The 22467-nt window shown below is 52.5% G+C and overlaps 1 pseudogene across 1 annotated transcript in view, besides 3 other annotated features; it reads left to right on the top strand.

Moving 5' to 3' along the window:
* The first annotated feature begins 1256 nt into the window (after positions 1 to 1256).
* The window catches only part of CEP192P1 (CEP192 pseudogene 1), a 56211-nt pseudogene continuing 35000 nt past the window's right edge, over positions 1257 to 22467 (top strand). The window contains exons 1-8 of the transcript NR_036494.1: positions 1257 to 1316; positions 12956 to 13149; positions 14172 to 14390; positions 15210 to 15451; positions 17251 to 17321; positions 17789 to 17867; positions 19666 to 19736; positions 20204 to 20228. The product of NR_036494.1 is annotated as a CEP192 pseudogene 1 (transcript). The remainder of the gene's footprint in view (positions 1317 to 12955; positions 13150 to 14171; positions 14391 to 15209; positions 15452 to 17250; positions 17322 to 17788; positions 17868 to 19665; positions 19737 to 20203; positions 20229 to 22467) is intronic.
* Positions 2671 to 3172: an enhancer, noted in NCBI's record as "H3K4me1 hESC enhancer chr5:175624383-175624884 (GRCh37/hg19 assembly coordinates)". NCBI's record gives its function as "activates a minimal SCP1, AML or CMV promoter by ChIP-STARR-seq in primed H9 embryonic stem cells {active_cell/tissue: H9 hESC(primed)}" and the evidence as "EXISTENCE:reporter gene assay evidence [ECO:0000049][PMID:30033119]".
* Positions 5304 to 5994: an enhancer, noted in NCBI's record as "H3K27ac-H3K4me1 hESC enhancer chr5:175621561-175622251 (GRCh37/hg19 assembly coordinates)". NCBI's record gives its function as "activates a minimal SCP1, AML or CMV promoter by ChIP-STARR-seq in primed H9 embryonic stem cells {active_cell/tissue: H9 hESC(primed)}" and the evidence as "EXISTENCE:reporter gene assay evidence [ECO:0000049][PMID:30033119]".
* Positions 16432 to 17022: an enhancer, noted in NCBI's record as "NANOG-H3K4me1 hESC enhancer chr5:175610533-175611123 (GRCh37/hg19 assembly coordinates)". NCBI's record gives its function as "activates a minimal SCP1, AML or CMV promoter by ChIP-STARR-seq in naive and primed H9 embryonic stem cells {active_cell/tissue: H9 hESC(naive and primed)}" and the evidence as "EXISTENCE:reporter gene assay evidence [ECO:0000049][PMID:30033119]".

Genomic DNA, 22467 nt, shown 5'->3' with positions numbered 1-22467 from the left:
TGGGCATCATTTATTTGGGGGAAAATTGGATTCTTTGGGGCTCCAGTTCCTCTCTGCTGCTGGCTCTCCTAGGCTGCCAGTCCCACATCCCACTTCCCCTGTGTAGAAGGGGGAAGGCCACCCCCTCCACACTCCCCCCATGAGGCTGAAAGTGGCCAAATTCTCCCATAGAAAAAGTTTGCTACTGCTTTGAATAAACAGAAATTGATCATCCCAGCCTTAAAGAAAGTTACATTTGTCTCAATGGAGTTTTCTTGGGAAACCTCCCAGAGAACAGTAGGGAGCTGAAACTTACGAGCTAGAGCTCTGGGCCTGATAGTGAGAGGCCTGCCCCTCACCCCTCCCTCAGCCCTCCGGAGTGCCTCAGCTACCTGGTGTCTGTTGACCAACGCCTTTGCCTCCCTGCTCTCTAACTCCTGTTTTTCCACAACTGGTTACATTTCTTCTTGGCCAGGCCTCCAGGACCCCCACCCTCTGCACTGCCCTGGATGCTGACGAAGGCTGTCCTTCCCCCTCCCTAACCAGCTCCTCCCCTCCTCCCACCTTTGGCCATGCAGAGGCCCAGCTACACTGTGCCTCTGCCTCTGAGAAATGGCTGGGGGTGCGCTGCGGGGGAGCCTGAAGCTGGGGTAGGGATGGGGGGTTGGGGAGAGGGCGTTGTTCTCAGAGTCTTCTGGGTCGCAACCCCAGCAACCCCAGCAGTACCAGATCTTGCATCCCCACCTGGTTTCCTTGCCCGCTGTGCAGTGGAAAGGGCGCACCTGTTTGAAAGGAGCGGCTGTGCTTGCAGAGGTGCGCTGACCCAGGATACTGGTGGCCTTTCCAGCACCCGCCTGTCTGGCAGCTACCGCCCCACGCTCCTATCCCTGCCTAGTGGCGCCCCGCTGCTACCGCGTCCTGTTCTGACCTCTGCCAGCCCGCGCCCCGCTCCCCTCCGCGTCCTGCTCCTGCCCGCGTTCTGTACCTGCCCGCGCCCCGCTCCTACGCGTGCGCCGCTCCTATCCGTGCCCCGCTCCTAGCTAAGCCCGGCCCGTGCCCACTCCCACCCGCCGCCTTGCGCTGCCCCTTCCGGCTCCTCGCCAGCAGCCGGCACCCGCCTAGCCCAACAGTGACAGAGCAGGGCGCGCAGCCGCTGAGTGCTCTGGAGTCCCTGCCCCGAGGTGCCACGCCCACGTCGGCCTCACCCGGGCAGGCATGGGGCGGTCGGGCTTAGCGCCGCACCCCGCCGGCCAGAGCCACTGTCTCTCCAGACGCGGCCCCAGCGCCCACTGGGGATGGCAAAGACGACATCCGGTGCGCCGAGGCTGCTCACAAAAGTAAGTCTTGCTGGCTGCAGGCGCCCGCATCGGCCAGTGCAAAGGTGGCCCAGAGTGCCAAGCGGCGGAGCCGAGGCTTTGAGAAGCACCTTTCTGCTTGCGCTGGGCAGCGGGCTGCGTGTGACTGGCCACCTGGCCTCGGCTGGGAGCGCACTGGTGGCGGGCGGCGGGCAGGTCTCTGACAGGAGCAGGCGCCCGCGGGCAGCGGGGCTGGTGCCCAGAACCTAGCGCAGTGGGAGTTCCCAGCGTGGTTGTCCCAAGCGCCAAAGCCGGTGTCCTGAAGCAAACAGGACAGCTCTTTCGGGGCAGGTGTGGGCGAAGGGGCAGGGAGCCCAGGAAGCCACGAGTGGCACGGGTCTGCTGTTTTTGAAGGAGATGGTGCAGTCCTGGTTTCCTTTTTTAAAATTTTATTTTATTATGCTTTAAGTTCTGGGGTACATGTGCAGAATGTGCAGGTTGGTTAACAGGTATACATGGGCCATGGTGGTTTGTTGCACCCATCAACCTGTCATCAACATTAGGTATTTCTCCTAATGCTATCCCTCCCCCCAGCCCCCAACAGGCCCCAGTGTGTGATGTTCCCCTCCCTGTGTCCATGTATTCTCATTGTTCAACTCCCACTTATGAGTGAGAACATGTGGTGTTTGGTTTTCTGTTCCTGTGTTAGTTTGCTGAGAATGATGTTTCCCAGCTTCATCCATGTCCCTGCAAAGGACAGGAACTCATCCTTTTTTATGGCTGCATAGTATTCCATGGTGTATATGTGCCACGTTTTCTTTATCCAGTCTATCATTGATGGACATTTGGGTTGGTTCCAAGTCTTTGCTATTGTGGAACAGTGCCGCAATAAACATATGTGTGCTTGTGTCTTTATAGTAGAATGATTGATAATCCTTTGGGTATATACCCAGTAATGGGATTGCTGGGTCAAATTGCATTTCTATTTCTAGATCCTTGAGGATGTGGAGAAATAGGAACGCTTTTACACTGTTGGTAGGAGTGTAAATTAGTTCAACCATTGTGGAAGACAGTGTGGCGATTCCTGGTTTCCTTTTTGAGCTCTACCTTCCTCATTCCTCCTCCAGCTCTGCCACTTTGGCTGGCAGAGGAGTGCAGAGGCTCTCTTTGGCAAGGTTGCTTTGCTCTCCTGCGTTTTTGCCACCTGGTCTTTAAAAACCTAAAAGCCTGTGGTTTCTGGGGTGGCTCCCTTGGAGGGGCTGCAGTGGGCTGAGACCCAGCCTGCAGCCTGGGAGTTCTGTGCCGCTGTCTGGGAGGGCACCTGAAGATGTGGCTTTGGGGCCATGGGAGGTCAGGGACAACACTTACGGGTGCAAGTTTTGGGGCTGGGTGTCAGGGCCAGGGGTGCTGCTGCACTGAGGATGAGGTGCAGGGTGTGGTGTTGAGTGTCAGGGGCAGAGTTGCTGCAGTGCAGAGGACAGAGGTGGTGCAGGGCAGGGTTCCCGGGCATGAAAAGGCAGGGGTGACAGAGCAGGAGCACCGTCATCTCAGACAAACACTGCCACTTTAAGTTCCAGCTCCCTTTCTAGCCCCATGCATTTCAAGGAAATCACTTCACTTCTAACTACAAGCAGCAGCCAGAAAGAGCAGGCAGTAAAAGATAAGACAGCTTGGGCACAGAGGGAGGTGGGGGGAGGGGGGAAAGTCTCTCAAGTAACTACCAAACTTCACCCTCATACAATGGGCCCCGGTAAACCAGTGGGCCTTAATAATCACTGTCCTTTCCCTTCAGATGCACTAAGATAGGGAAGCTAAAGCAGACTCGGGGGAGGGGGGAGGTATGCCTGCGGCTGAAGCAAGATGTATGGGAACAGACACACAATTCTCCCTTCCAGATAAGCACAACAAAGAGACATAGGAGCAGTGCAAGCCTCTGATAAACTCTCCCACCCTGAATCCTTAAAAACTTTTAGCATGTAGGGGAGTGCGGCTTCTGACTTAACTTGGACAAAAGTCCCTCCCAGGTTTGAAATAAACCTGCTGACTATTGAGCCACCCTCCGTGTTTCTCTCCTCTTTAATTCTTACAACCCCTCCTTCTGAGATGGAGATGTTTCCAGCTGGGGAAACTGAGGCTCAGAGAGAGTCGACTAAGGGAAGGCAAGAAAGGGAGGCAGAGCCCCCTGCAGGCCCTCCTCACCCGAGGAACCGAGAGAAGCCAGGGCCAGGGCCTGCCTTGCAACCCACTCTGCCTCCACCTCCCCTTGTGGGACCTCGGGGTGGCCCCATTTCCCTTGTGCGGGTGAGGAGCTCCTTTTTGCTGCCTGATGTTTTGGATCCTGAGCCCACACCCAGGCAGGGCTGTCTCCTCTCCCTGTAGTTGCTGAGGCCATCAGGCCGCAGGCTTCACCTCTGTTCTCTACTGGGTGATCCTCTGGTCAGGTCCCTGGGTGTGCATGTGGAGGAAGGTGTGCATCCGTGTGCATGTGTGTCCACACATGTGAACACAGGTGTATGCATGTGTGCACGTATGCAAGTGTACAGGGGTGCACCCACATGAGGCTCCCCAGACCTTTTCCCCAGGAGAAGACCATATCTCCCCCTGGTGTCAGGTGTCCACTCAAGCCCTCCAAGGGTGGGGATGGGGAGAAGGGAAAAGTGCCTGGGATGCCAGGCAGGAGTGCAGGCTCAGATGGGCCCTGAGGTGGTCACAGAGCTGAGCCAGGCATCCAGTCTGTGCAGCAGCCAAGATGTGGCCAGAGAGGTTCCTGGGAGGTGGGGGCGGGGGGGTGCTATTCAGGCCCACCCCCTTCTCTCTTCATTCTCCTAGGGGACAGTCACAGGAGCTTGTCTGTTGCCAAAAGTCCCCCTCAGCCCCTCCCTACCTACAATGTCCCTTCCCTGGGCATAGGCCTGAGTGTGAAGACTGTGTAGCTGCTAGCAACAGAAACGGGGCTTGTATGCACCCAAGGGAGACAACTCCAGCTCTGTAAAGCCTGGCGGGGGTGGGTGGCAGGCAGCAGAGGGTCCAGTGGTTTAGGGTACCTCTCGTGGGCTGGCTGCCCACACCACCTACCCCTCAGCAGGCCGGCTCTGGACATAGCGGTTGGCCAAGTCCGAGCCAGCCCGTCTTGGCAACTCCTCCTCCTGCCTGCCAGGGTGACTTCACTTTTTCAGATCTGCAGTGATGTGCAGATCACTGATTCAGCCCTGAGCTCAGCCAGGATGCAGGAGAAAGAGGAGGGGCTGGCCCCGGGGCACCCCAGGCCCAGCTTCCTGGGCCCTCCCACCCCATGGCCCCATGGGCTTCCCTTCCTCCATCTGTCTGTGGCTGGGTGCAGGCCAGACCTCAAGAGGCAGCTGGGGGATATGGAAAGAAAAGGGACTTTCCCCACAGAAGCCCAGAACCCACCTCCTACCTCACCCCAGGACCCCCCTGACAGGTCCATGGCTTCCCCTTGTTAGAGGTGAATGTGATGCTGGGCATCATTTCTTCGGGGGAAAACTGGATTCTCTGGGGCTCCATGCTGGCTCTCCTAGTCCCACACCCCGTGCTTTCCTGTGTAGAGGAGGGAAGGCCCCCCCCCACACTCCCCCAATGAGGTGGAAAGTAGCCAAATTCTCCTGTAGATGTTTACTGCTTCTTTGAATAAATGTAGAAATTGATCCTCCCAGTCTTAAAGAAAGTTACATTTGTCTCACTGGAGTTAGTTTCTCTGGAAACCTCCCAGAGAACAGTAGGGAGTTGAAACTTACCAGCTCGGGGCCTGACATTGACAGGCCTGCCCCTCACCCCTCTGGACTGCCTCAGCCACCTGGTGCCTGTTGACCAACGCGTCTGCCTCCCGCCTCCCTAATTCTTGTTTTTCCAAACCTGGTTACATTTTTCCCAGGCCTGGCCTCCAGGACCCCCACCCTCTGCACTGCCCTGGATGCTGACAAAGGCTCTCCTGCCCCCTTCCCTGCCCATATCTTCCCTTCCTCTGGCCTCTAGCCCCACAGAGGCTGAGCTCCACCGAGCCTCTGCCTCAGGAGAAATGGCTGGGGATGCGCTCTGGTTGGGGGAGCCTGGAGCTGGGGTAGGGATGGGCGGTTGGCGGGGAGGGTGGTGTTCTCAGAGTCCTCGGGTCACAACCCTAGCAGTCTCAGATCTTGCATCCTGCACGGCTTCCCTGCTGTCTTTGTGCAGCAAAAAGGGCAAAGCACAGGGACTGCAGGCAGGTGCACCTGGTGAAAGGAGGGGCTGTGCGTGCAAAGGCGAGCGGACCCAGGTTAGTGGTGGCCTTCCCAGCACCACGCCCTGCTCCCACCTCTGCCGGCCGGCTTTGCTCTTACCCGCGCCCCGCTCCTGTGGCGACCCGCTCCTATCCCTGCCTGGCCCGCTCCCCGCTCCTGCCCCTGCCCCTGCCCCTGCCCCTGCCTGGCCCCCGCCCCGCTCCTGCCCTTGCACAGTCCGCGCTCCTCTCCTACATGCCGCCTGCGTGCTTCCCCTGCCTGCTCCTCTCGCGCACGGCGCTCGCCTGGCGGGCAGAGACCAGAGCAGGGCGTACAGCAGCTCAGATTGCCCAGGAGTCCCTGCCCAGAGGTGCCATGCCCACAGTGTCCCTCGGGTCCACCAAGCCCTGGGCAGGCATGGGGCGACCGGGCTGAGCGCCGCACCCCGCCCCGCAGAGCCGCCGGTCAGAACCACCGTCCTTTCTGCGCGACCCCGGTGCGCAGGGGCGAAGGAGACATCCGGTGCTGCCGCCGCTGCTCGGCAAAGGTGAAAGTCCCGCCGGCTGAGGGTGCCCGCACGGGCCAGCGCGAAGGTGGCCCCGTGCGCACAGCGCCCTGATAAGCGCTTTTCTTCTTGTGATGGGCAGCGGGCTGAGCGTCGCAGGCCACCCGGCCTCAGCTTGGAGAGCATTGGCATGGCAGGTCTGCGGGAGCAGGCGCCGGCCTGGCAGCGGGCTTGGTGCCCAGAACCCAGCCACAGCCGGAGGTCCCAGTGTGGCTGCCCCTCCCGCCAAAGCCGCCTCCCGAAGTAAACAGGACAGCCCTTTCTGAGCAAGCATGAGCAGAGGGCCGGGGAGCCCAGAAGTCGCCACTGTCCTGGGCCTGCTGTTTCTGCAGCAGATGGCCCAGTCCTGAGTTCCCTTCTGCGCTCTACCTCCCTCATTCCTCCTCCAGCTCTGCTGCTGGAGTGGAGCTGTCTCTTAGGCAAGGCTCCTTTGCTCTCCTGCATTTTTGCCACTCTGGTCTTTAAACATCTAAAAGCCTGTCGTTTCTGGGGTGGAGCCCTTGGTGAGGCTGCCGTGGGCCTCAACCCACCGGGCAGCCTGGGAGTTACGTGCTGCTGCGGACAGAGCACCTGAAGATGCGGCCTTCAGGGCCATGGGAGGCTCAGGGCCAACACTTACCGGTGCGGGTTTTGGGACTGGGTGTCAGAGGACAGGGGTGCTGCTGTGCTGAGGACGGGTGGGGCAGGGCGGGTGGCCCGGGCGTCAAAAGGCATGGATGGTGCTGTGCTGAGGATGGGGTTCAGGGTGGCGGGGCTGGGATTCAGGGCAGGGGTGCTGCTGTGCTGACAGCGGGTGCAGGGCCGGGGGCTCGTTTTCAGGGGTCAGGGTGGGGGAATGGGTGTCGGGGCAGGGGTGCTGCTTTGCTGAGAACAGGGTGCAGGGTGGGGGGCTTGGTTTCGTGAGATAGGGGTGCTGCTGTGCTGAGGACGGGGTGAAGGTTGATGGGCTGAGGGTCCACGGACAGGGGTACCGCTGCGCTGAGGACAGGGAGTGCCGCGTGGGGCCTGGGTGCCAGGGTTTGGGGTGCAAATATAGTGAGATCAGGATGCATTGGGGAGAGTGCCGCAGGGACCTCGGGAGCTGTCACATGGCAGGGAGAGGCCGCAGTCAACACCCTGTGTCATGATTTCTTCCCCACCTGTGTGTGGCCAGGCGCAGGGGACTAGACAGTGGCTGCCAAACAGGGAGTGCACCCCGGCGGTGGCTGTAGGGGACCACGACAGTGGGGCCACCTCTCCCTGCGTGTCTGCACTTGGGCCTGCCAGGGCTGTCTGCCATGCTCCATGGGGTGGGGGTCTTCGGCCCCTGGGAGGCTGCCGGTCAGTGTGACTCAGAGAGGTTGCGGTCAGGGGTCCCCTGGGGGCTGTGATGCAGTAACTAACTGCACCCTTTGGGGCTGGGAGGGGTGAGAAGGTTCTAGGCCTCCCAGAGCCCACCTGGCTCCTCCATCAGAAAGGCAGCCAGGCTTGGGGTTGAGGAGGTGATGCTGTGCCCCCTGAGGCAGGCTCCACTTTCCCCAGGGGACCTTGGAGGATAGGCCCTCTCCTGACCCACGCTCAAGGACACTTGGCAGCCCCTGTGGTCCTGCCCTTTCTCCCAGCCTTGGCCTCCCTCCCGGAGCTCTAGGGTGAGGCCCAGGCCTGGGAATGGCTCTGAGATCATCCCTGGGCCTCCGTGGAGCTCTGGTGTCACGGCTGTGTGGTTGTGGGGGCCTCGGGGACTCCTCTCTCCTCTGCCCCTGAGCCTGAAGGCCATGAGGCCTGTGGAGGGATACCTGAGCTGTCCCCTCTGACACCCCGGACAAGGTGGGAGTTGGGCAAGAGCAGGCAGTGAGGTGTCCTTATTCCTGAAGCTGCTTTCTGCTTGGCTCCTGCCCCCTAGAGAGCCCGGGGCAGGGAGACGGTGCAGGCAGGACCTCGAGGGCGGCAGTTCAGCCTCCCCTGGGTCTTGGAGGGACTGGCATTTAGCTCTGAGCAAACATCTCTGTCGGCTTTTGCGTCATGGATGGCTCCACAAATTACAGCAGCCCAGTCACCACCACAGGTCCTCTGTGCACCTGGACGGGTGTGCACCCACCTGGTTCAGGCTTTCCTCCCTGACACTAGTGATACCAGAGGAGCTGGGGCCAGCTCGGGAGATGTCTGCAGCCCTGCAGGCCCAGGTCCTGGGGCACCAGAGCCGCTTCCCAGATTTGGGTGCTGGCAGTGGTGCTTCCGGTCCTGGCCCTGGGCTCCTCTGTGCCCTGAGCTGCTGATGTCTGTGTCCTGCAGAGCCCAGCGTTCCAGGGAAGCACCTGGGGGGCAGTGTGGCCCTGGGCAGGAGGCAGGGGAGGCAGGACAGGGGCCATCCCAGTCGCTTCCAGGTCCCTCCTGTGTCTCCATGACTCTAGAAAATTCTCACCCTTGGGTTCCTAAAAGAGAAAAAATGTAGTTGCCTAGAATTTAAGTCATGACCCTGGGGGATGCTGGGGGAGATGTGCACTCCGGGTGCCAGGACCTGAGGGTGGGGATCTGGGGGTGCAGCGTGAGCCGGGGTGGGCGAGGGTGGGGAGCTGGGGGTGCAGCTTGATGCAGGGTGGGCGAGGGTGGGGAGCTGGGGGTGCAGCCTGAGGCGGGGTGGGCGAGGGTGGGGAGCTGGGGGTGCAGCATGAGCCGGGGTGGGCGAGGGTGGGGAGGGCTTCCTGGGTTTCTTCCTCACACTTTAGTTGCCACTGAAGCTGGCACAGACCTGGCAGACGGAACTGGTCCTGGGTGGGCCAGTGGTTTTGTTCTGGTCTTCTCCCCCTCCCACTCCTCCACCGTGGCCTGTAGGGTGTCTGCTGCACCCTGGGAAGCCCCAGCTCCCTTCCAGCCTGACACTGAGCAGAGGTGGGGCTCTGGGCCCGGCCCTCCTCACCTGGGGAAACGGGGCTCACAGGCGCTTGGTGACGTGGGCACGTTGCTCTTCCGTGGCAAGAGGCCAGCCTTGGCTGTGGGACCCAGCACCGGTGGGCAGCCCCCAGGTCATCTCTGCAGGAGACTCCTCTGGCAGGTCACACACAGGACGCCCCACAGAGCTTTGAAAAGTCGTGACCCAGGAAGGGCTCGAATCTTCTTTGCTCGCCCAGCCTCCAGACCACCAGTACCTGTGAGGGCAGGTGAGACTGTATTTGGGGACAGGAACACCCCCAGTCTCGGGAGCTAATGCCGTCCACTCGTGTCCTGCTTGTGGCACAGCCTGGCATGTCCTCCAGGCTCTGGGACTGGTGGCCGCACCTCCAGCCCATGTACCCGGCCGTGTGCTCAGAGGAACACAGAGCCTCGAGGAGCCTGAGGCTTGAGGAGGTTTGAGGCCTGGGAAGGGCCGTTGTCACTTTGCCTGTGTTCCATGGGATCCGGTCACACAGCCCTTCTCACCTCAAGGGAGGCTTGGAATACAGAGGACACAGGGCTGGGGGTGCTCAGGGGTGTGCCTGCACACGCTCCTGCACACGGCTCTTCTGCCCTTGTCCTGGCCGCACAGCAGGGGCTGGTGGTGGGCCCAGCAGCTGGGGGGCAGGGAGGGGAAATTGGGGTGGCAAATAATTACGGTTTACTTTTTTTTTTTTTTTTTGAGACGGAGTCTCGCGCTGTCGCCCAGGCTGGAGTGCAGTGGCGCAATCTCGGCTCACTGCAAGCTCCGCCTCCCGGGTTCACACCGTTCTCCTGCCTCAGCCTCCTGAGTAGCTGGGACTACAGGCACCTGCTACCACGCCCGGCTAATTTTTTGTTTTTTTGTATTTTTAGTAGAGACGGGGTTTCACCGTGTTAGCCAGGATGGTCTCGATCTCGTGACCTCATGATCCACCTGCCTCGACCTCCCAAAGTGCCGGGATTACAGGCGTGAGCCACCGCGCCCGGCCCAAAGTTATCCATTTTTAAGTGGGAGATTTGTGGCATTCAGCACCGTTAGAGCTTTGCACAGGCATCGCCTCTGTGTAGTTCCAAGACATTTCCATGGCCCCAAAAGGAAACCCCATACGTATTAAACAGTTGCTCCCTGCTCTCCCCTCCCCCGGCCCCTGGGTTCTGTCTCTGTGGCCTCGCCTCTTCGGGACATTTCACCTGGACCTTTGTCTGGCTTCTGTCACTCAGCATAAGGTCTTCTGGGCTCCTCCACACTGTGGCATGCAACAGGCCCCGTTCCTGAGAGGGGTGAATAGTGTTCCATCACCCGTTCATCTGGGGACAGACATGTGCGTGCCTTCCACCCTTTGGCGATTATGAAAAGTGCTGTCAGGGACATTCCCGTTACAAATGCCTGAGTCTCTGCTCTCAGTTCTCTTGGGTACGTACCTAGGCCCCAGGTGTGAAATTGCTGGGTAATTATTTTGTTTTTTGAGGAGCTGCCACGCTGTTTTCCACAGTGGTTGAGTCAGATAACTCTGGCCATCCAGTGGGTGCACGGCGTCATCTCCCCTGTGGCTCTGGCTTGCCTTTCCCTGGTGACAGTGCTGCTGGACACCTTTTCCTGGGCTTGCTGGCCAGTTGCCTCTCATTGGAATGGCATCTCTTTGAGCCCTCTGCCCGTTGTCTGCATTTGGAAAACCCAACAGCCTGTCCCATTTTTAGTGTCCTGAGTTTAAGCATTTCTCTGCCGAAACAATCAAGCAGCTTCATCCAGAGGCATCTTCATCAGTGCCTGAGCCCCCGTCCATTTCGAGGAGGGCGTGGGATCATCTGATTTCTCCCATGGGCACTGAGTCACCACCATCCTCGGGAACCCCGGGAACATTCCCAGAAGACCTCCTTCCCCCAAACCTCAGCTGTGCCCGGACCCCCTCCCCACCCAGGCAGAGGGCTGCATGTCGTTGTAGGGGTGTCAGGAGACTTGGGTCCCGGTCACAGTTCCACCATGAGTGTGAGATGCGAGTGCTGCGCCTCCGTTTCCCCGCACAGAATGGGGAGAGGGATGTCCGTGTTCTTCAGTGGGTGGCTCAGGCCGGGTGTTGGAGGAAGAACCTCGAGGAAGAGAGGGCTGTGCCTGTGTGGGCAGAGATGGTGGCGCCTCCGAGGCCAGGGCTGACTCCCATCTCTGCTCCTCCTCCTGCTGCTCCTCCAGGCCACCCCCTCCTGTCTGGGGGCCCAGGAGGAGAGGTGTCTGCAGAGGCCCTGCACCCCACACTGGGTCACCTGCTCCACATGTTGGGAAGAAGGAATTTAAGTCTAGAACTGAGACTGCACTGCCATGACGGTGACTGTTGTCCTCATTGGACACCAGGGAGGTAGCTGTCGTTGGCATTTATTGAGTGCCTGGTGTATGCACTAGGCTGTTCATGCATCTGCAGAGCCCAGGGTTTTCTTGATGGTTTGGCAGAGAGATGCTTAAACTCAGGGCACTAGGAATAGGACAGGCTGTCAGGTTTTCCAGATGGAAGCACTGGCTTGTAGATGAGTGCAGCTGGACCGTGGAGCCATGAGCTGAGGCAGCTGTTCCCAGAGTGAGGCTCCTGTGGACCATCCTGTCACTCTAGCCTGCTCCAGACCTCTCCACCCTTGCTCAGTGCAGGGCATCAGGCCATGGCAGATGGGCGACCTGATGCCTCGTTCTGCCCCTTCCTTTTATGTTTAGACACAGCCAGTGTCCAGCATACATGTTCCAATAGAGGTCACAAGATGGACAGAACAGATTCTGTGGCAGTAAGGTACCAACGTGTAAACAGCACCTGCAGCCATGCCAGGCAGGGGTTGAGTCACACACCCCTAAACAAGGAATAAACTGTTCCGACTGCCACAGGGTTTCTTTTCCTCTAGCAGCTAAATAAGCACTATTAACAGTTATAGCACACCACCAGACACTGAGTAACTGGCCCCCAAGCCCTGTTCCACCAGCCATAACTAGAGCTCCAACTGGACGGGAGACCGATTTCAGTAACTCTCTCGCGGGAAGAGATCACTCGCCATGGGCTGGCTCTGGCCGGTTTACAGAGGCTGTGCACTTGTGTGCCTTTGTGTCCTGAAAAGACCTTTTGAGGATAGGGCCTAATTGTAATACATTTAAATGTTATGTCTCCACCCCATGGTGAACATGGGTCCTATGTTACATGTATGTTTGTTTGGTATGCATGCATCAGGACCATCCTCGTGAATATTCACAGCTCCTCCTGTAACCTGTCGAAGGTTTCTATTCAGCCAGCCTGTGCAGCGTAAAGCTCCTGTCCCAACTCCCCCTCCTTCCATGTGCCAGGCTCTGGCCTTGGCAGGAGGCACGCTTCCCAGCCTGCAGGATGGCCACCTTGCGGGCTATAAACTTTCATAAGAAATCAAGTCTCTGGTTGTGGCAGAAGCTCCTTGGTTTAATTAGGTCTTATACCAGGCCTCAGCGACACGATGTACCCATGTAACAACCTGCACATGAAGCCCCTGAACCTAAAATGAAGTGAAGAAAAAGAGTCTCCTCTTGTTTTCTGAATGTATAAATGTTGTGATTTTTTTTAAGTTAACAGAGTGAATGAAATGCTTCCTTTGTAGAGCAGCATTTCAGGTCTACGTTAGCTTTCATTACCCTGTTACTCCATAACCCTCTGGTTAATTTCCCTGAATGTGTGTGTTTACTTGACAGTCAACCCACAGTGGCTGAAGCAGCAGGAAAACACACAGGTGTCTTACCCTTGACCTGGGTCATACAGCGGCAGGTCTTTTATCTCATGTTTGAGAGGTATCTCTGTGCTGGAGGTTTTCAAACGGGAATTTGCATGTGGCTTTTTAAACATGTTTGCAATTTCTCTGCTATTCTCCTCTTTGAGAGGTGGGCGTCTATGCCTCTTCTCATGAGGCCAGGCACTAGTGCTCACTTGTCACTGCCAGGTGATGTGGAGGGGATGCTGAGAAACTTCCCAAGCTATGTTTGAAAAGGCCACGAGTCTCTTTCTGGTTTACTCCAGTCACTCACCTGTGGCGCCCTTGGCCGCTCAGTCAAGGCTCTGAATATCCTGAGACTGCCCCACTGCTTGGAAGCCCCGGACACCAGAGAGTTTCCTGTAGGTCCTCCAGCCGAGCCCGATGACCCCGGCAGGCCCGGGAGTGATGTCCCCCTCTGGATGATCCCAACCCCTTGCTGTGGATTCAGCCCCAGCCGGTGAGCCTTCTCTGCAGGCCCCAGACATCAACACGTAGCGAGAAGATATCTTTTCTGTGTTTTGCGTGAATTCCTATCCCTGTGAAGCGTCAACAAAAGAAAATGGTTGTTTTACACCAGCATTTTGGGGTATCTATATGTTTTTAATAAAGTCACAATAAACGCACCAGGAATAACACACTTGCAGCACATTCACAAGGTACAGAAGAAGACACACTGAAGTCTGCGTTTCCTCCTTTCCCTCTTCTGCAGCCTGCCAGCTCCTGCCTCTGGAAGAAATGGCTGTTTAGTTTTTGTACATTTTTCCAGATTTATTAATTGAACAATCATATAGCGCTGACACCGTGACAAAGCTTTCTGAGGGCTTTGCCTACCAATGTGAAAGAGCCATTTAGTTTTCATTCCCTGTAAACACTCAGGTGGCAGCAGGAAGGAAAGCCGTTTGCTCTTTTTAACTATTCCCTATAAATGAGCTGCGTTTTTAAAAGTAGCTTTACAATGCTGTTCCTCCAGTGAGATGGTTTTATTTTTTTACTGTATTCTGTATTTTTTAAAACAATTTCTTCCCCAATTTGCATTGGAGATGTGAATCTGTTTTCCAGTTTTTCCTTAAGTCTCACCACTGTCTCTTTCTCTGTCTCATGCATATATATATATATATATATGCATATACATGTATATGTATGTATGTATATATGCAAGTATATGTATATTATGTGTAAACAAACACACATTTTTCTGTTCAGTTAACAATTACAATTCTCCATTTAGACAGGTAATATTACTTACTCCTTCCCAAATCCTGTCTGTCACCTTCTCAATTAGGTAATCCCTGAAAAATTGGCAAGGTCTGTATTAATGCAGTTTTTATACCTCATCAGTGCCCATTTGATTTGATAGTTCTTAAAGCTTGTGATGAATCTGTGGTGATGGAAATTTTCACTGAGCCATTTCATATCTTAATGGGTATCCACTTTGTCTTAAACATGGTAACTCTCTCGTTTTTATTCTCTAATTTTCAGTTGTTGTGTCTTTTGGGGACCTTGTCAGTTGCCTTCCAAGTGCTAATTCTCATGACGAGATAAGAATGGCTATGACTGGGTGTTGATTGATGAGTCGAACACATTGAATCCTGGAGTTTGAGGTTATCAGAACTCCCCACTTAGAAAATCATCCTTTATATTTTAGAAAATCATCATTGTATGTTGAACATACAATGCTTCTTTTTTCTTCATCTCCAGGTGAGTGAATAGACAATCTTTCATGTATACTTTCACAGAGAAATCTCTCAAGAACTCAGAGAGATTCGGAAATTAGTAAGTCTGCAACTTAGTTACATACAGAGAAAAACAGTAGATAATATAGATAGGTGATAAGATATTTTATACAATTACTATGAGTTATATTCTTAGAGATCGACTTTTAAAAATTGAATTTAGGCTGGGCCCAGTGGCTCCCTCCTGTAATCCCAGCATTTTGGGAAGCCAAGGTGGGTGGATCACCTGAGGTCAAGAGTTCAAGACCAGCTTGGCCAACACGGTGAAACCCCATCTCTACTAAACGTACAAAAATTAGCTGGGCGTGTTGGTGCATGCCTGTAGTTCCAGCTACTCGGGAGGCTGAGGCAGCAGAATCACTTGAATCCGGGGGGCGGAGGTTGCAGTGAGCCAAGATCGCACCACTGGACTCCAGCCTGGGTGACAGAGCGAGACTCTGGTCTCAAAAAAAAAAAAAAAAAAAAAATTGAATTTATACTAAGGCATTTTAAACTTTCATCTGGAATAAATTTAAAATTGTTGAATATGGAAATTGCTGATGACTCAGGAATAGTAAGAGGGATGGGGATAGTATTTCAAGTCAAGGAAGGAACCTCATTTTATTCTGAATGTGTTAGTTTTGACCCTCTTCACCCTGAAGTTTTCACTATCAAATATATTTGGAAGGCAGGTCTTCTTTCCTCATTTAACGTTTATTTCATACACAGAGAATAGTACTGTGGGTGTGGGATTCAGATTTTGATTTTGAAATGAACTCTGAGTGGCCCCTTGTCCTTGTGAAAGTGCACTGGTCTAGAGAGCGGCAGTTGGACCCCAGAGTGTGGCACGTGTTCCTGTGTTCATTTGAACATTCTCTGATGACCTGTCGCTGAGGTCCTGTGATGATGCGTATCCTGTCTTCCACCCCAACTGCCACTGTGTTTCAACTGTCGCTGGCTGTGTTTCAACTGCCGCTGTGTTGGAACTGCCAGCTAGACTGCTCACCAAAATGGGAGGCAGCCTCTGCTGCTGTGGTGAAGGTGAAGGTAGGTTCATTTCCATCTTCTCACTGCAGTTTCTTCAGATGGGCCACTTGTACTTAAATGTTTTCCTGATTTATGTATTTTTCCCCCACCTCCAGTTTGTCTAGAGATTTACAAATTGGTTTTAGAGTTTTATGACTCAGTTTGTATTTTTGATTCTGCTATCAAGCTTTCTGCCTTAAATATTTTCCTCTGTTTAGAAAAATGTACTGTTTCCAAGGCCAATTTTATACACACTTGCATAGAATAGACCCAGAAGAAACGCAACAGCATTTCCTTGGTCATATCGGGAGATCTTGATACCGATGACAGTGTGAGACGTTCCATGAAAGGCAGATGACAGGCCAAAGTCCTCTAAATTGAGATGTGAAAATCTTAAATCAAATGTTGAAACAGCTGGAATCCAGAGATGTTTAGAAAATAAACTGCGATCTTCTGGTGGGAAACGCAGTGGCCTAGTGAAGAGGTTTTGAGGATTGTTTTAAATTAAAGACCTTTTGAAAACATAAACACAATCAAGTGGATATACAAAGTTACAAAATAGAAAAATTATTAGAGGTTATAAAAGGTTTATGAAAATCTTACTTTGTAGTCAAAACTGACGGGGGTAGATAGATTTATTGATAAGGTCTTCTTAAAATTAGCTACAATATTAAAAATACAGTAATACCAAACTAAAATTTTGGTTTAGAAATAAGCTTTTGTTAAGATAGATAATTTGTTCTCAATGAAATTATAAGAGGTAATAATTTTTTCTTCTGAAATCTGTTTTTTTTTTTGTTAAACTTCTCAGATTTATACCTCAGAGGTTTGAATTTTTCTGTGTCTCTTTACACCTAAGTTACAGGTCCCACATCATTGCCTTCTGTTTCTTTTCCCCTGGAAAAGGCGCATCTTTATACTTGGCTTGGATGATAACTCTCTCCTTTAAATTTTCATCCGCCCCCACCCAGGTTCTAATTCTGCTGCTGTAATACTAAAATGCTTATTTTAAAGGTCTGAAATACTAATGTTTGCCTCAGATGTAAAATGATTTTGTACTCTTGGCCTTTTGCTATGTCTTGATTGTTTCAGGTGATCAGGAAGCCTCCCATGCTGTTAGTTAGAGCCAGGTATCCCCCCGCTCAAGTTACTAGCAGTTCTGTTTACACTTCTCTGTAATACAGTATTCACGCATGACTGAACACACGCTGTGTCTCATTAAATTCGAGTACCCTTCTCATGAGGTGTGACTTCCAAGTTATTCAATAGGCTTCATTTAAACACTGCCCATTCTCAGGCAGGCCTTAGTTCAGCCTGCTCAGATAGTTGCTCAGATAAGTAGTCAGTGAGACAGTGGGGGTCACAGATTTAATTCATTCAGTCACTTAAGCGCCAGCCCTGATGGCCACATTTTCAGTGAACTGCTCACGCAGGGTTGGTCAGTTGAAGGGAAGTTGATTCTTGGCACAGCCATCAGGTGGCGGTTGGCTTAGAATGTTCTGAGTTCTGAGCCATCTTGGGGACCAAGTAGACCGTCGGTCCCTTGGGGTGTTCACTGGTCATGAGGGCTGCCTGTATGAACACTGCCTACTTCACAGTGATGCGGGCGGCTTAGCCAGGGACCCGAGGCTGTGTCTCCCAGGGCTCTCCTGATGGCGTCCTTTGCCTGCCTTCACCACCAGGGAGGGTGGCCCAGCAGCAGCTCCGCCCGTGCTCTCACCCACCTCCTCCACACACACCAGCCCTGTGTCCTCAGCACCCAAGGCTGCCAGAGGTCCTTCAGCAGCTGCCACGGCTGACAGTGACTCTATGTTTCCTAGGCTTCTTCTACCGCCAGAATTGGCGGTTTCTCTCGCTGGATTCTTGGGACCTGATCCAGGCAGCACACTCGGTAAAGTCTTCTTTCTTTGTCTGAGATGGGAATTTTATTTCTTTTGGTTTCTTTCTATTTTCTCTGAATTAAGATATGTAATTCTTACCACGGACTTTACAGATGAGCCACAGAATTTCTTGGTGGGCAGAGGTATGTGAGAGCCCATTCATTGCCAACTTGGAACTTGTTCCAGATGGCACTCATAGATGACAGTGTTAGTGACAGACTGCATGGCAGAGAGCATTGTCCTCAGGAGAAATGCATTCTTGAAAATAGGGGTGACTTTGCAACCAAAAATCGTTTTTGAAAATCTCATACAACACTCTTGTGCATTTCCTCAAGTGTCTTCCAGGCTTTATTTGGGGGCCGTTGCCTCGAGCACCATCTCCCAACCAGATTTCTAATGTCACCAAGTGAAGAAAAGACCCATGAACACAGGACACAGCATGGTCTGACGCTCACAGTGTTTTCCTTTCTCTCTGCAGACACACTCAGCGATTCAGCTCTACAGTATGCACTCTGGGATCTCCCATTTGCTAAGGAAGGATCTTAGCTTTGAGAAAGGTGACACTTTCCTCCCTACTTTTGCTGGAGAACTACCCTGGTTTGAGCTTCCTGCTGGAAATGAGGTTGGGCAGTTTGATGTAAAAAAATGAAGAGTTTAGTCAACAACTGTGGCCAATCACTGCAGTTCCCAGAAGCAGTGATATCATTTAAATAGGAATAGGGGTGCATCAGGGTGGGGAGATATGGAGGAGAGAGTCCGTGTGAAGTGATGGTGAATGCCTTTGGGAGTGTGTGTGCATTTCTCTAGAAAGCATGTTCCTCTGTGCAAAGCATGACCCAAGGATCAATGTTCTAGAAACAAAATTCCATCCCCGCATCAGTCGACACTTCATCCTTTACCACAGCTGTACCTGAAGGTTAGTTTAACATCCCCGGTCCTCAGATTGGAGATGGTGGAGAGATGAATTTCCCAAGCTCTCAATTTCCTCAATGGGAAAGGCGAATGTGAACTCAGGAATGAGTGAAAGGTTGACGTGATGGGCTGCTACTCCACAGTCCTCACGTGGCCCTGGTATAACTCGTCACTACACCAGGGAGTTCCAGCATCTGTGTGTGCATGTGGAAGTATGACAGCCTAGAGAGATCCCACACACTGCCCAGCATTGTAAGATGTTCTCAGTGATGGCGAAAGGCAGGGTAGCAATACAGTGGACTTTGGGGTGGTTCTTAATGTGAAACCCACATAGGGGAGTCACAGGCTTTTGACTGCAGTGGTGGTGTCATTTCTCAGCTCTTGTTCAAAAGCAGAGAACAATCAGGGATATGTCCTATTGTATTTAAAGATATGATTGGACCCAATGGGGAGGCTCATGCCTGTAATCCCAGCACTTTGGGAGGTTGAGGCAGGAGGATCACTTGAGTCCAGGAGTTTAAGATCAGCCTGGGCAACATAGTAAAACCACATCTCTACAAAAAATACAAAAATTAGCCAGGCGTGGGGACATGCTCCTGTAGTCCCAGTTTCTCAGGAAGCTGAGGTGGGAGGATTGCTTTGGCCGGAGAGGTGGAGTCTTCAGTGAGCCATGATTGTGCCACTGCATTCCATCTGGGAAACAGAGTGAGACCCTGCCACAAAAAAACAAAACAAAAATCATGATGACCACAAGCCTTAGAAATGCTCCAGCTTAGTAATACAAACACCCAAGAAGTAGCACCCAATATGATGTCAAAAACAACTTGGGTGTTAGCCTGGTGCCCCTCTTCCCTGCTGGAATCTCAAACAGCCGGGTTAGAGAGGGTCAGCGCCCCCACATGCTGCTCCCATGACAGGCTGTCCCAGTGCCAAAGCCAGGGTAAGTGTGAGCAGTAACAGACTCCACGGACACACACACACGTATGGAAAAGAGAGAGTGGAAGGACAGATAGCACGTGCTAAATAGGGGTTATCTTTAAATGGGAGGAAAACTGAGTATTTTCAAAGCTTTATTTCATTGTCCTAAAAACAAATGGATAGTGAAAAAATAGAAGGTTTTGGTTGGAATTAAATCTTCTCTTTAAAGAAAGCCTGCTTCTTATCGAGTAGAAAACCTCTAGGAGGGGTGATAGTCACAGCAGCACCACTGGTGGATTCTGGGGAGGAAATGACCTTGGCAGGACTCAGGAAGGGAGGGCAAGTGAGCTCGGGTCAGATTAAGAAGCAGGAGCCCTGAGAGGCTGCAGGGACACACAGCCTGCCCTGGGTGGTATGCCCTGTTTAAGATGGGCCATTTCACATTGATGAGGCAGTCAGGGCTAGAAAGCCTTTCTTCCCTGCTCCTGCCCTGCACTTGCTGACAGTCACTATGTGTCCTCCTAGTGGCAAGAGATCCCCTCTTGAGGAGACTCCGCAGGAACACCAGAGATGATAGTGACACACAACAACTGAAGGTCAGGCCACCTGGTTTTGTCTGGGAAAAAGTTACTTTCTTCGCTTTATCTTCTTGAATTAAAATAAGATATGAGAATCTGACCCTATATATCATAGGTGACTTATACAGTGTCCTTGGTGGGGGGAATTCTGAGTGAGTCTGTTCCCCATTGAGGCTTGATTTAAGACGGCAGGAGAAAACGACAGTATCAGCCATGCACTGAGTGGCAGTGAGCTTTTTCCTCAGCAGCTTGATTCTCTCCTTGGGGCAAAATCACTTAATTGCCTAGCAACATGACCTTGAGAGGAAACATCCTCCAAGAAAAATTTTAGCATGAGTCAGTTTGCCCTGTTCTTCTTCTGTGTTCCTTTGATTTGAACACTGTTTTCCATCTGGTTTTCTAATGTCACCAAGTGAAGAAAAGTCCTGTGCACTTGGTACTCGGATGGTCTGAAGCTCATGGTGTTTTTCTTTCTCTCAATGCAGGCAGAGGTACAGGCTGAGGAGAAAGGTGTGTATTCTGGGAGCACTCCTTTCTAAGGAAAGACCTTCAGTGTTGCAAAATGTGGCACTTACTAGTCTGCTTTTGCTGGAGAGACACTTTGGTTTGAGCTTCCTGACAGAAATGAGATTTGGACAGTTTGGTATAAAAAACACTGAGTCCAGTAAAGAACTGTGACCATCCACTCGAGTCCGGGGAGGCAGGATTGTCATTTAGGTGGAATAGTGTGCTGTGCATCAGGGTGGGGAGGTACAGAGGACAGAGTCGTGTGGAGTGATTGGGAGTGTCTTTGGGAGTTGTGTGGGCATTTCCCCAGAAAGCATGTTCCCCTGTGCAGAGCACAACCGAAGGAGCAATTTTCCTAAAAAAAAAATTGCAACACCACTGCACACTTCACATAAATTAACCCATTCATCCTCCACTACAGCTGTACCTGAAGGTAAATTTTATATCCTCACTCCTCAGATAGAGATGGTACAGATTTCCCAGGCTCTCAATCTCCTAAATGCAAGAGGCAAATGTGAACTCAGGAATGTGTGGAGAGTTGATGGAAAGGGTGACTACTGTGCATTCAGCAGCCAGCCCTGGCGTAACTCACCATTAGTCCAGGGACTTCCGGCATTCGTTTTTGCATGTGGAAGGATGATAGCCTAAAGAGGTCCCAAACACTGTCTGTCATTGTAGGGAGGTCTCAAAGGTTGCCTAACCCAGGGTAGCAGTAGGTACATTTTACACTGGACTTTGATGTGGCCATTAATGTGAAACACACATAGCGAGCTCACGGGCTTTTGGCCGTAGTGGTGGGGTTATTTCTCAGCTCATGGTCAAAAGCAGGGAATACTCAGGAACATGCTCTATTGTATTTAATAACATGATTATCACAAGCCTTAGAAATGCTCCAGTTGGCCAGGAACAGTGGCTCACGCCTGTAATCCTAGTAGTTTGGGAGGCTGAGGCAAGTTCAGGAGTTGGAGATGAGGCAAGGCAGAAAGGTGAAAACTCGTATCTACTAAAAATACAAAAAACTACCTCAGTGTGGTGGTCCATCCATGGTCCCAGCTACCTGGGAGGCCGATTGGGGAGGATCACTAGATCCCAGGAGGCACAGGTTCCAGGGAGCAGAGATCATGCCCCTACACTCCAGCTTTGGTAACAGAGACCTGCTATTGAAAGAAGGAAAGAAATGCTTTAGTTACGTAGCAAACACAATCAATACACAGCGCCAAATATCATCCCAAGGAACAACTTGGGTGTTGGCCTCCCACCCATCTCCCCTGGTGGAACCTCCTGCACAGCTGGGTTGGAGATGGTCAGTGCTGCCACCTGCTGCCCCCATGACATTCTCTACTAGTGTCAGAGCCAGTGTGAGTGTGAGCAGCAAGGGACTCCCGACACACAGACATTGCATTGAGAAGGTTGAGTGCAAGGACAGATAGCACTTGCTAAGTAGGGGTTATCTTTAAATAGAGGATAATTGAGTATTTTCAAAGCTTTGTTTTATTGTCTTTAACACAGAAGTTTGGTGAATATGTAGAATATTGGGGCTGGAATGAAATCTCTCTGAACAAATACTGTTTTTACCAAGTATAAAATATTCTAGAATGAGTGATACACACAGAAGCACCACAGGTGGATTCTAGGGAGGAAATGATGTTGGAAGGACTCAGGAAGGGAGGGGAAGTCTAGTAAAGAACTGTGAGCATCCCAGTCTGGTCCCTGAGGCAGTGGTGTCATTTAGATGGAAGAAGGTGGTGTGCATCAGGGTGGGAGGTATGGAGGAGGGAGTCTGTGTAAAGGGATCACAAATGTCTTTGGGCGCGTGTGTGCATTTCCCCAGAAAGCATGTTCCTATGTACAAAGCACAACACAAGGATTACTGTTCTAAACACAAAATTCATCACCATTGTACACGTCACGTCAATCAGCCCTTTCATCCTCCATGGCAGCTGTATCTGAAGGTAAGTTTCCTGTCTTCACTCCTCAGATAGAGATGGTGTGGAGATGAATTTCCCGAGCTCTTGGTCTCCTAAATGGAAGAGACAAATGTGAACTCAAGAATGGGTGAAACATGGATGCGATGGGCTACTACTGCGCGTTTATGAGACAGCCCTAGCATAACTCATCAGCATGCCAGGGAGTTCAGCACCTATGTGTGCATGTGGAAGTATGACAGCCTGTAGAGATTTTAAGCACTGTCATTACAGGACGGTCTTAGTGGTCACCTAACACCGCGTAGGAATAGCTACAT

The sequence above is a fragment of the Homo sapiens genome, chromosome 5 (genome assembly GCF_000001405.40).
Source record: "Homo sapiens chromosome 5, GRCh38.p14 Primary Assembly".
In the NCBI taxonomy this organism is placed as follows: Eukaryota; Metazoa; Chordata; class Mammalia; order Primates; family Hominidae; genus Homo; species Homo sapiens.
The sequence above is the reverse complement of the archived record's forward strand: the minus strand, read 5'-3'. Positions and strand labels throughout refer to the sequence as shown.